General features: G+C 42.9%; 1 protein-coding gene across 4 annotated transcripts in view; it reads left to right on the top strand.

The window, feature by feature from the left end:
- Window positions 1-12,957, top strand: part of TBX5 (T-box transcription factor 5) — a 54,532-nt gene that overhangs the window by 39,099 nt on the left and 2,476 nt on the right. For all 4 annotated transcript variants that reach the window (NM_080717.4, XM_017019912.2, NM_181486.4 and 1 more), the window contains one exon: window positions 2,953-3,179. In NM_080717.4, coding sequence (NP_542448.1) covers window positions 2,953-3,179 — 227 coding nt within the window. The remainder of the gene's footprint in view (window positions 1-2,952; window positions 3,180-12,957) is intronic.

The raw sequence follows: 12,957 nt of genomic DNA, 5'->3' as shown, positions 1-12,957 counted from the left end.
CTTCTGTGTTAGTAATCAAAAGCAGGACTTGGCCTTTCCAGAGAGCAATTTTGCAATTTGGCTGTACTGGAACGGAGAATTCCACGGAGTCCATTGATACATTCTCTTGTAAACTCTCTCAGCCAACATTTTTTGGAGGTTATTTTCTTTAATTAAAAAGAAAAACTGTTCCTATTAAAAATATAAAACCAAAAGAGATTTCCCCCTTCCTCTTGGAGCTCTGACAGCAAAATATTGGAACTAAATAGATCTAAATAGAATTGTCGGCAAGTTTTGACAACTTTTATAATGTTTTATTGTTATTATAATTTTTCTTCTTTTTCTTTTTTTCTTTTTTTTTTCCATTACGTAGCTTGAACCACAAAGCAAGAGCTGTAAAGCTAATTCCATTCCCTTCAGCCTCCTGGCCCCAGGGGGAGATTCTGACTGGTGCGGCTGCTCGGATGGCTCCAGCTTTGGTTCTGAGATGGCACAGGGAAGCTGGGCTAGGAGACCCCTGGGTGTCCTGAGGGTGTCTGTAGACTCATGGAAACTTGGCAGATGCTCTGTGTTCCTGCCTGGCCACTCTGGTGTGCTTTCACATGACAAACAAAGGCAGGGACATAGGGTGGAGATGTTCACACACTTGAGGGGGTAGAAGTAGAAAGAGTCTTGTACCCCAAAACCCTGCTCCCCTAAAAGCATATTGTGTTCTAAAAATTGAAAGACATCATTAGGATACAATGCAAAAGTTATGAGGAAATGATTGGATTAGAATTCTAGTTGTGTCTCTTTCTAACTCTGTGATCTTGAACAAGTTGCTTCATCTCCCTGGGCCTCAACTTCCTCATCTGTAAAATGGGATCAAAGATAATACCTATCACATAGAGTCATAGAAAGGATGAAATGGACGAATTCAAGATCCTTCAAAATGCGTTACGTGTAGCTCTTTGCGCATGATATTATTTCAGGTATACTCTTTAATTTTAATAGTTAAGCATTGATTGATTGATTGATTGATTGATTGATTGAGACAGGGTTTCACTCTGTCACCCAGGCTGGAGTGCAATGGTGCAGTCATAGCTCACTGCAGCCTCAAACTCCTGGGCTCAAGCAATCCTCTTGCCTCAGCCTCCTGAGTTGCTATGACCATAGGCACATAAACATTCGTCTTAATTGCATTAAAATAACTATAATTAGCACCACAAGCCTGTAATTTCACAGATATGATCACTTATAGTGAAGCTTAACTTATTTAGATAAATGATTAATTTTTAAAATGTCATAAGTTAAAGAATAGATGGCTGTATGTCATGGTGAAAATTGTGTCTGACTGAAGTTTGGGATTTACTGACACATGCTCCTTCTAGGATAGGGGTTCTTAAACTGTTTGATGCCATGGGCCTCTCTGGCAGTGTGTTGAAGCCTATGAATCATCTCTAAGAATAATATGATTAAATGCATGAAATAGAATACATAGGTTACAAGAGAAGCCAATTATATTTGAAATATAGTTACCAAAATATGTTTTAAATGGCTGTTTAGCAATATATGCAGTTTGTAAATGCCATGCCCAAGATTCCCTATCCCCATCCTAAATGCTGGATATGGGATGTTAGGGGTCAAGCTCTTCTTCTCTCACATACTTGGATATTTCTCTCTTTGTCCCTTCTATCTTGAAGCACCCCCACCCCCACCTTCTCTCTACTCCTCTGCAACCTTCCACATCCCATCCATTCCCCACCTCTCTCATTTCCTTTGAGCCTCCTGCTGCTGCACAGCACGACTTTCCTTCTTCCCAGGAGAGGTTTCTACTGAGTCCTTCTGAGGAAAAAAAATGGGAACACCTGGTATGAAATCTGAAGGTAAGGGAATGTGGAGGACCAGTCCTAAGAGTGTGAGGGGCCAGATTTTGAGCACACTGAGGGATGCTATACCTATGATGTCATGGAATTTTTATTATGCTTACTTTGCCTGTGTGAGCCCTGAAGCTCAGGGGAGGGTTGTGTGTCAGATGGACACACAGCCTGTAAGGGATAGGGATGGGGCCTGAATTGGGAGCTGCGTAATCTTAGATCCCATGCTGATTTTTTCTTTTCTTTTCTTTCTTTCCTTTTTTGTTTCTTTTTTCTTTCTTTCTTTTTAAATCTTCTATGTCCTTGTTCCTCCTTCTTTCTCATTTTCTTTCCCTCTCTTTTTTCCCTCCCTCTATTCTCTCTGCCCAAAACAATAACAGTAATGACGATGGTTGCCATTTGTTGAGCATTTACTCTGTGCCATGTACCTTTCTGAGTCTTTTCATGGTTAACTCATTAACCCGTTTCTTCTATCAACAGCCCTTTGAACTGGGGACATTCATTATCCCTACTTTACAGATGGGAAAACTAAGGTATGGAGAAGTTAAGTATATCAGTGGCCACAAGGACAGAAGCTCAGGAGGAAATTCTGACACTAGCAGCAATCTATCCAGATGAGAGTAACTTAGGATTATACCTGACCTTCCTAGGTTGTCAGCTACCAGTTTTTACTAACTTTGGGCAATGACCTGAGCCCCACCTTAAAGATGGACACCCACAGGTTAAGTCTAAATAAATACTCAGATTAACTAGCTTTCAAATTAGGGAATTTAAAGACATACATAGACTAAATTGACATATTTCAAAATACCATGTGTGTTTATTGATTGTTAAAAGGGGTTCTTAACTGGGGGTGTTTATTTACTTTTCTGCTGAGGTATAGAACTGTTGGTAAATCTACTTGCCTAATGTATAAGGCATGAAAAATTAGTACCCAAATATACATTTGTGAAATATGATGGACATGAATATAACTGGATCATTTTATTCATCAAAGACCTCTTTTTTTTCCTTATTCTGTGACTTTTCTGGTGGATTCTCTCACACCTGGTTCAGCCACTCAGGAAATCTGTATCAGGGCACTGATAGGCGTTATCTCCCATCTTTTCTCTTTCAGTAAAGAATATCCCGTGGTCCCCAGGAGCACCGTGAGGCAAAAAGTGGCCTCCAACCACAGTCCTTTCAGCAGCGAGTCTCGAGCTCTCTCCACCTCATCCAATTTGGGGTCCCAATACCAGTGTGAGAATGGTGTTTCCGGCCCCTCCCAGGACCTCCTGCCTCCACCCAACCCATACCCACTGCCCCAGGAGCATAGCCAAATTTACCATTGTACCAAGAGGAAAGGTGAGTGTGATCACCCCTGGTCAATTTGCTTTCTTTCTTACCTTTTCCTTTCCTTGGGTTGGGGGTGAGGGGGTGAGGAGTATTCATTTATTTACTTTATTTATTTAAAAATGTAAACAACACAAAAATATATGGAGATAAGAAATTTAAACCAAACAGCTAAAACAAAAAGTTCCCTTGACATGTTCCTACCCCCAGTTCCAGCCCCTCCTTTGGAGAAAGCTTATTTGAAATGTTCAGACCTATTGTATTCATTTATGCACACATACACGTGGCGAGTGCAGAGAAAGAACTAGATTTATTTTTACTTTTTTTTTTCTTTTTTTTTTTTTTTTGAGACAGGATCTTGCTCTATCACCCAGGCTGGAGTGCAGTGGTGTAGTCATGGCTCACTGCAGCCTCAACCACCTGGGCTTAAGTGATCCTTTCACATCAGCCTCCCTAGTAGCTGGGACTATAGGCATGCGTTCACACACTGTACTAAATTTTTGTTGTTGTTGTAGAGACAGGGTCTCACTGTGTTGCCCAGGCTTGTCTAAACCTCCTGGGCTCAAGTGACCCACCTGCCTTGGCTTCCCAAAGTGCTGGGATTACATGCCTGAGCCACCACACCCAAAATTTTTTTTAAAAACTTTTAATATAGATGAAATCACACTGTATGTATTTTGCAACTTGCTGTTTTTTTTCTTTTAAACTTTAGAATGTGTTTTGGGTATCTTTTTATGAACCTAGACTGCCTTATTTTATTTTTAACTGCTAAGGAGGAAGAATTGACTGGAAAGGATAAAATGGAGTTTATTTTGTCACTCCCTCTGGTAGGCAGGGAGGTTGCTTGAGTGGTCCCTGATGGTATTACAAGCCGTGATGCAGGAAAACCCCTTGTGACTATCAATGCTTCTCTGGCATATGTGTCAGTGTTTCTCCCAGGTGGATTTTGAACTCTTTTTTTTTTTTTCCTGATCAAAACCAACACACACACACACACACACACACACATCACAAATGATTTTCCCCGTCTCATCCCCCATTTAAATCTACTAAGCTGAGGCATTCCGCAGTTTTCTTTGCCACATGAGAAATAAATGGCTTTTTTTTTTTTCTAAGTCATCCAAGTCCAAAGGGGCTAAGCTAAAGAAAGAATTTTCTGGTGGCCCTTCTTGTGAGCCAGAATAGAAGTGTTTGGCACAGGTGGTGTGGTGGAGTTCAGCTCGATAGAACCATTGCTTGGTGTGAGCTGTAGATGGTATGGTGGGGAGACTGCAGCCTTTGGGGACAGAGAGATGCGGGTTTGAATCTCATCTCTGCTCCCTGCTTCTTGTGTGACCTCACTCAGGTGTTCTAGCCTCTCCTAGCCTCAGTTTCTCACTTTGTAAATGATATGTTTCCTAAAGCATCTGATAGTTAGCAAGTACGCAGTAGGTGGCAGCCATGATTGGGTATGTGGCAGATATCGCTCCAGAAGGTGATTCCCAGGAGGAATCTGCCTCTTGTCTTTGGACTGGCATTAATTTAATCAGTCTTCCCAGAGAAGACTGCCTCTCTAGGTGAGAGCTTGAGAAGACAGATACAGAAGGGATGGGGTAGGCTAAAGTTTACATCTGTGGTCTGTAGAATCAATCAGGATGAAGTTCACCTTTGCAATTTAAAAATTTTCATAAGTAGTGACAAGTTGCTTAACCTTTCCAAGCCTCATTTTTAAAAATCTGTAAATATGGGCTCAGGGTACGACTTGTCTCATAGGCTTGGTGCAGAGATGTCAAAAAATCATACACATCATATGTTATCTCAGGGTTGACTCAGAAAGTAGTAGCTGTTTTGCTCTAAAAGACACTAATTTTAATCTACAAAGTGGCCTGTTGAACCTCACAGCCTCAGTGGTCAACACAAGCCTTTGTGAATCCAGTGCCCAGTGCCTAGCCCTTTAGGAAAAAATAACTCGCTAACAACCAATGGGAATGGATGCTTTGGTAGCTTTTTCTGGAGCTGGGGTTACATGAGGAAAGTAACATAGTTTGACTATTTGACATTTACCAATCTTGCGTTTTAAAGGAGGGAAGAGCTGTCATTGGTATTTACATGGGGCTAGGAGCTGACCTGGATGAGGCCTGACTTCCAGACTTACCTGAAGCCAATCCAAACTCCTTGAATCTCAAAGGCCTGAACAATATCACTCCAACAGGCCCCCTGGCGTGACTCCCGGCACGTCTGCTGCCGGATGGACTGGAGACCAGATGCCTGCAAATATGTCTGCCTCTTTAGGCATGAGCAGGAGGTTAAGAATGTCCTATGGGACACAGGTCCCTGAATAGAGATTCTGTTTTATATTATATTTAAGGGTGCCCTTCCTAAGTCCCAGATCAAGCTTTTTCGACAACACTATGGAGTAGATGCTATTATTAACCCACTTTATCAATGGGGAAACTGAGGCTCAGAAAGGTTCCAAACAAAAACTGCCAGTGGTTCTTGAACCCCAGCCTGGTCTGCAGATTCTATACGTGTGCATTTCACCACTACTCTATACCGTCTTGGTTACCTTTGCTCATCTGCTACAATCTCAAAATTTCATTTTCCACTGAAGATCTGTCTTTGAGACTGGGTCAAACATGCTGATTAAGAGCTCACCAGGTTTGAATTCGGGAGCTCTAATCGATTAAATTAATGCCAGACCAAAAGACAGGCAGGAAGAAGTTAAAAAGGATCATGGTGCTTTTTAGGTTCAATATTTACAGCAGCATCCTTATAAATGCATCCCTGAAGGATGCGGCAGGGAGGCTTTGAATGCACGGTTCACAAACCTCTTAGGTTATGACTTGACTTTCATGGACTGTTTGTTGGATCCTTGGATGAGCTTAAAATCAACTTGGAGTGGCCACTGGGGAAGCTGGAGTTGGGGGCTGATCCACTGTAGTAATACTCACAGTTGACGACACTTGGCAGCTGTGTGCCCAGGGGCAAGTTGTTTTACCTTTCTGGGCCTCAACTATCTTTTGTGCAAAATGAGGATAACAATAGCACCTGCTTGATACGGTTGTGATGAGGGGAAATGAGATCATCCACAGAAAGCACCTAGAACAGTGTCTGGCACCTACAAGTGCTCAATGAACATGTGCTTGCCACAGGCCTGCCCTTGTGAAGCTCATACGGTTGCAAGCAGGTTGGACATTATACAAGTAATTATAAATTGCTTAATTGAAATTGTGAAGCCTGGCACTGTGGCTCACACCTGTAATCTCAGCATTTTGGGAGGCTGAGGCTGGAGGATTGCTTGAGTCCAAGAGTTGGGACTAGCCTGGGCAACATAGTAAGACTCCATCTCTACAAAAAATAAAAAATTAGTCTGGCATGTTGGCACATGCCAGTGGTCCTAGCCAACCCAGGAGGCTGAGATGGGAGGATTGCTTGAGCCCAGGAGTTCGAGGCTGCAGTGAGCTGTGATTGCACCACTGCACTCCAGCCTGTGTGACAGAGAGAGACCCTGTCTCAAAAAATAAATAAATAAAATAAAATAAATGATTGAATGCTATAAAGGAGATATGCAAAGTGTTAAGGAATATCAAACTGGAGTGTCAGTCTAGGGTAGGCAATCAGGGAAGCATTGAGGCTGAGATCAGAGGAGACTGAGTGCTGGATAGGAGAAGGGGGAGGTGTGAGGGTATCCACACATAGAGGAAAGCATGCATGAAGCCCCTTGGCTGAGGGAGAGCCTGCCCCCTGGGGAGTGAACAGAAGGCTGAGATGTTGGCACTCAAGGCAAGGGCAAAGTGGTGGGGGATGAGGGCTAGAGGGGAAGGCAGGGACCAGTGAGATGCCAGCCTGTATAAGCCATTTTAATGAAAGATGTCAGATTTTATCCTACCACCAGTGCACGTCCATTGGAGGGATTTAAATTTGTGAGTAACATGCCTAAGTTCTTTATTTGGAAGCAGTCACTGTGCTATGATAGCACAGGACTATTTAGTTGGCACCAGAGACCCATTGAAAGGCTGTCATGGGGTCTGAAACAGGAGATGGTGGCTCCGACCAGGGTGTGGGGAGAAGCTGGAGATGTGGGTGGAATCAGGCCTTAGTGGCTGGTTGGCGATAACAAGGTGAAGAATTACCCCACTTCTTTGTGGATTTGGAAACCAACACTGAGGAACTTACCCAAAGTCACTCAGCTCGTGAGTGGCCCAGCTTGAGATGTATACTGAGGCCTGTGGGCTCAGGGTGAATGGGGTATGCACCCTGGAGAAATCCTTTCACCTTTCCAGAAACTCTGCCCTTCTCACCTCCCTCCACCCCCAAAAGGGAGCTCCCAGTGACAGGGAACATTCCAACCGAGGGCTCTCTGTCCTGCCTAGGAGACAACAAATAGCAATTCATCATCAGCCTCCACACTGTAAAGTGATAAGGAATCAGCCGAGGTTTCCTTCCAGTTGGGATTCTCATTAAGTGATAACTCCATGGGTGGTTTTCCCCCTGGCCCCTGCCTGCCCCACTATCTGACTTCCCCTCATTGTCTGTCTCCTTTCCAATGAGCCCAGGAGTCAGGCCCAATGAAATGTCACAGGGCCAGGCAGGCCGGAGGGCTCCTTGTGTTTGGAACCGGCTGTCTCCAAACTATCTCTCCCGATGGACTGAGCCAAAAAAGCTGGGAAGGTCTTTTATCAATGCCACTCAATCAAATCCAGGACCCCAGGGCCTGGGAGAGCACTTGTCTGTCTTTCTCCCTCTCACCCCTGACTCTCACCCCCACTCGCATTAGAAACTAAAAGCAACCCAAATAAAGATTCTAGCAAAGCCATGAGCTGAATCAGATATTCAAAGGAAAGTTAGAGATTGAGAGGGGAAGGGGAATTCGATATGGAAAAGGGCTTTGCAGGGTGCATTTTCTGAGTGCTATGTTTTAAAATGCGATTTCACATCCATTCCTTTGCTGATTCTCCAGTTCCCTGCAGCAGTCTTTGGACTAGGGGAGATGCCACCCATCTCTATTTTGCAGGGATCTAATGGAGGACCAAGAGACAGGGTTAGATTTTAAGCTTATGTGGCTGATGATTGGCAGATCTGGGATGGATGCATCAGATTAATCTTTATTTATTGAGCACTTAATGTATAATGGACACTGTGCTAGGTGCTTGGGATAAGTGGAGGACATGGTGGAAAAGGCTCCCGCTCTCAAGAAACTTGAATTCTTACTGGATGAGACATATAATAAGCCAGTAAGTAAATTTATTGGTTTCAGGTAGTGACTAGGTGATGTTTCAAACTGAGTCTTTTGATTTCTCGTTGAGAATCTTCGCACAATACCATTCCAACCCTTCCTACTTTATGCTAAGAGCATGGGGACACCAAAAACAAATAACAACAACAACAAAAACAACAACAACAAAAAGTCATCCACCCACTCATCCACCCACCCACCAATCCATCCACCCACCATTCACCCATCCACCCACCCATCCACCCACTCACTCATTCATCCATCCACCCATCCATCACTCATCTATCTATCCACTCACTCATCCATCCACCCACTCATCCATCTACCCACTCATCCATCCAGCCATCACCCCACCTATCCACTTATCCATCCACCCACTTATCCATCCCCCCACCCATCTATCAACCCATCCATCCACCTACCCAACCACTCACTCATCCATCAACCCACCCATCCATTCACCCATCTACCCACCCACCCATCCATGCATCCATCCACCCATCCAACCACCCATCCATCCACCCACTCATCCACCAATCCTCCCACTCATTCATTCATCCATCCATCCACCCACCCACCCACCCATACATCTATCCTCCCATCCATCCATCTACTCATCCACCCACTCATCCATAAGAGTCAAGGTTTGCTACCTTTTCATGTTGGCTGAGCATGTAGGGTTGCGTGAAATGGAAAGCCTGGGGCCATCTGTCAGAATGAGCACTGCTTTGTGAGTCAGAAGACCTGAATTATAGCCACCTTCCCAACTTGCTGAAGGTCACTCAGCTAGAAAGATTACTACTCTGAGTTTCAGGGTCTCTGTCTGGGAAGACTCGCCAATGGTTCTTCATCTGAATGAACTGAATTGGCAAGAGAAATGACCCATTTGGGAATAGTGAAAATATTTGCTCAATAGGATTAGTATTTAAAAGCACTCTGTGAGCTTTCCAGCTCTGTAATCTACCCAAATACTATTAAGTATGGGACAACTTTCAGAAAGCTATCTATCCAGTCTTCCAAAAGAGAAAGAGGGAAAAGAGAATGGACCCAGGTCATTTGGACAGACAAGATTTGAATGCTTTATGTGCAAGGAAGATAAAAACTCAACTGCCCTCATTATTACCTCAATTAAATCTCATAAAAAGTTCAGGTATTATCTCCATTTACAATCAAGAACTGAGATTGGAATGACCTGGTGATTCATCCAGTCACATGGCGAGCGAGCATTGGAGCTGTAACTCTGTGCCTTAATATCTGTGCCTTGGATGCATTACTAAATTCACTTTATCCGGAATCAAAAATATCTAGAAAAATCCAAAGTACTAGGGTTTTCTACAGTGCCATGCCATAATGAGTGGTCAGAATCAGGAAGAATTTACTGTTACCTAAGAGACTCATTTCGGTTTAGGATAGTTGCAATATAACTGACCACTCTTAATATGCAACTTTCTGAAGCCGAGTTGTGGACTCATCTCATCAGAAGACTTGATACTTAAGTATAGCCCATTTACCAACCCTGAAAGTTAATCATGACTTGGCTGGAGATAGGTCTTTGCTGTTGAACAGTTATTGGGCTCTCAAAGAAGAGAAAAAAGAAAGAAACTGAGCCATAACCAAAATAAACACAGAGATTACATCCAGAGCATTTATCATGACTGACCTGAAATTTGGATCCTTGAGTTGGAATTTCTTTACAATGTGATGAGGCCTGAGAGGAATTTGAGAATGTTCAGGACCTGCTTTCATCAATAAGCCAAGATTGAGTTTTTCTTAGTGCTCTGCATTAGATCTTTGGGGTATTAAAGACTGGAATGTATAATTTTACGATTTTCCAAAATGTGTTCCGGCCGTTTTCTTATTATTCTTCCTTTTTTACTTGTAACAAATCTGGAAGGGGATCAGAAACTTGAAAATAGTTAGTTTGCCTTGTTTTTTTTTCCTCTTGCTAAGGGTGCCCTGCAGCTGTACTTTCTATTATTGAAAAGGGTAACACCCTGGTTAATTGGAAAACCCAAAGGTTATGATTCCAGCAACAATGGAAACACTCAGGTTTATGAATCTGGGGGAAGGAAGGAAGAATTGAAGGAAAGGAATCAAGGGAGGAGGTGGTGAGGACAAAAAGAAGCTGAGTATAGCAATGTCTTCAAGCCTCCAAACAAACAAACAAACAAACAAACAAACAAAAAAAACCCCGCACAGTTAAAAGGTGAAAAATGTGGCCGTTCATTCATCTGGATGTTTTCAAACATCTGCATGGTTGGCATGATGTAGATAGAACACCTGGAAGAGTGTGTTTTTCTTTTTTTTTTATTTTTGGTACAAATTTTTTTGGTATCCTATAAGTCCCATATGTGGCCCAGAAAGAGTCTAGTGGAAATAAGTTTACTTGCTGTTAAGTGGGCACAACCCTAAGAGATATGTTTTGTTTGTGGATACTTTTGGCTTATCTGTGGGTGTCACTTGGACATTGATACAAATGGAGCTGATTGGTGGAATCCAAACCCAAGCTACTCTACCTGGGTTTGGGAGCTATTTTACAAACCAGTCCAAAGCCAAAGGATTTAGTCTTGAGTCAATGGCTTACTTGTGTCTTTATATCTGAGGACCACCTCTCAGTCACAGAGTGTCAGCCTCCCTCACTTACTGCTCATGGTAGGATAGACTGGGATTGAGGACATGCACCAAAAACGGGATCATGTTCACCACTCTATCTCCAGCACCTGGCACAATACCTAGCACTTTGGAGCAGCTCAGTAATTATCTGCTGTATGATTGCATGAGTGGCACTGGGTATTAGAAATCTAGAGAGTTGGAAGCAAGGTGTGTAGGCAAAGTCAATCCAATCTGGCTTAGATTCCAGCCTCTGTTCCTTCTCAGCCATGTGACCTTGGGCAAGTCACTTCTCTGAGCTTTAGTTTCTGCCTTTATGAGACAGGCATTACAGCAGACACCTTGAGGAATTACTGTGAGATGAAGAGTAAGGTCATGTAGTAGGTACTCAATAAATAATAGCTCTGATCATTTCCTCTCGTTATTTAGTTCAGCATTCTGTTTTCATGGCCATGAGCCATCACAGTGAGTTGCATGGATGCCCCAGTGTTTCATTTTTCTTCACTTCTCCAAAGACAGACATAATTTCTTAACATTTATTGACTAGAAAGAGACAGAAAGATGAGGAAAGAGAATTTTCAGTTTGGAAGGTAAAATTTCAGATAAGTAATGAGTCTGTGTTGAGGTTTATACTTTGGTAGATATCCCCAAGTATTGCTTCCCCTGAAGGGAATACTTTGAGGGTATTATTGTGAATTATGTCTGCCATGAGCCTGACTGGTGGTGTTAGCCCTGCAACAAGAGCTGTTCATGTTGACGGAAATCAGGAGACTTTACATGCTCAATCTTAGTTCTTAGCTACCCAGTAAGGTAAGTATTACTCACTTTGATTCAGAGATGATGATGAGTCTCTGAGCGTAGATGCCCTGCTGGTATCACGCAGATATTAAGTAAAGGAGCCTGATTCAAATCCAGACATGTCTAGGCTTCTTAACCTGGGGTCTGGGTTTTAGGGAGTCTTTGAACCCCCTGAAATTGTATGCAAAGCCTTGTATGCACATGCAGTTTTCAAAACATTGTGTTTCAATGCAGTTTTCTAGGAAAGAGCCCAGCACTTTTTCTTGTTTTCAAAGGGGCCAGTGGCCCCGAAGTGGTGAAAGGAGACCCCCTTTCAGAGACAAAACTATCTCCACTTCCCTACACTAGGAAATGACTAGTACACAGGGAAGGGAAGGGACTTGCTCAGCAGGAAACAGCAACACATTAACTTGTACCAACTTAACAAATACTAACTAGGCACATGCTTACATAAGGAATCAGGAAAGAATTTGAACATTCATTCAAGCTCCCTCCCACTCATCCATGCATCCATGCATCCATGCATCCATCCATCCATCCATCCATCCATCCATCCATCCATCGTACAAATATTTATTGCATGCTTTCTCTATGTATCAAGACAGTGAAAAACAAGGGCTTTGTGGTCAGACTACTTGGATTCTAATCCTGGCTCTACTGTTTATCAGCCATGTGAAACCTTGGGCAAGTTTCTTAACCTCCGTGAGTCCTTTTTCTCTCATCTGTAAGATGAGGATAATAGTAAAACCCACCTGGTAGGGTTGTTGTGATTAAATGTGTTACTTCCTGGAGAGTGCTTAGAATCGTGCTACGCAGAGTACACACTGTATATGTTTGTTTTGACTTATTGTTGATGCTGTTGTTAATAGTAGGTGTTTACTAGGTTCTGGGAATATAGTCATGGATAAGGCAGAAAATGTCCTGCTTTTATGAAATTTACATGCTGGAGAAGAGGAAAGATAATAATAATTGCTATTTATTTATTTTTGAGATGGGGGGTCTCACTATGTTGCCCAGGCTGGTCTCAAACTCCTGGGCTCAAGTGATCCTTTTTCCTTGGCCTCCCGAGCAGCTGGAACTATAGGCGTGCACAACTGCACCTGGTTAGTTGCTATTTATTGAGTGTTTCTGGGCTCTGGACTAAGTGCTTCATGTATTTTCCCATTT

This window comes from Homo sapiens, chromosome 12, assembly GCF_000001405.40.
Source record: "Homo sapiens chromosome 12, GRCh38.p14 Primary Assembly".
In the NCBI taxonomy this organism is placed as follows: Eukaryota; Metazoa; Chordata; class Mammalia; order Primates; family Hominidae; genus Homo; species Homo sapiens.
This window is presented reverse-complemented; position numbering and strand designations above follow the sequence as displayed.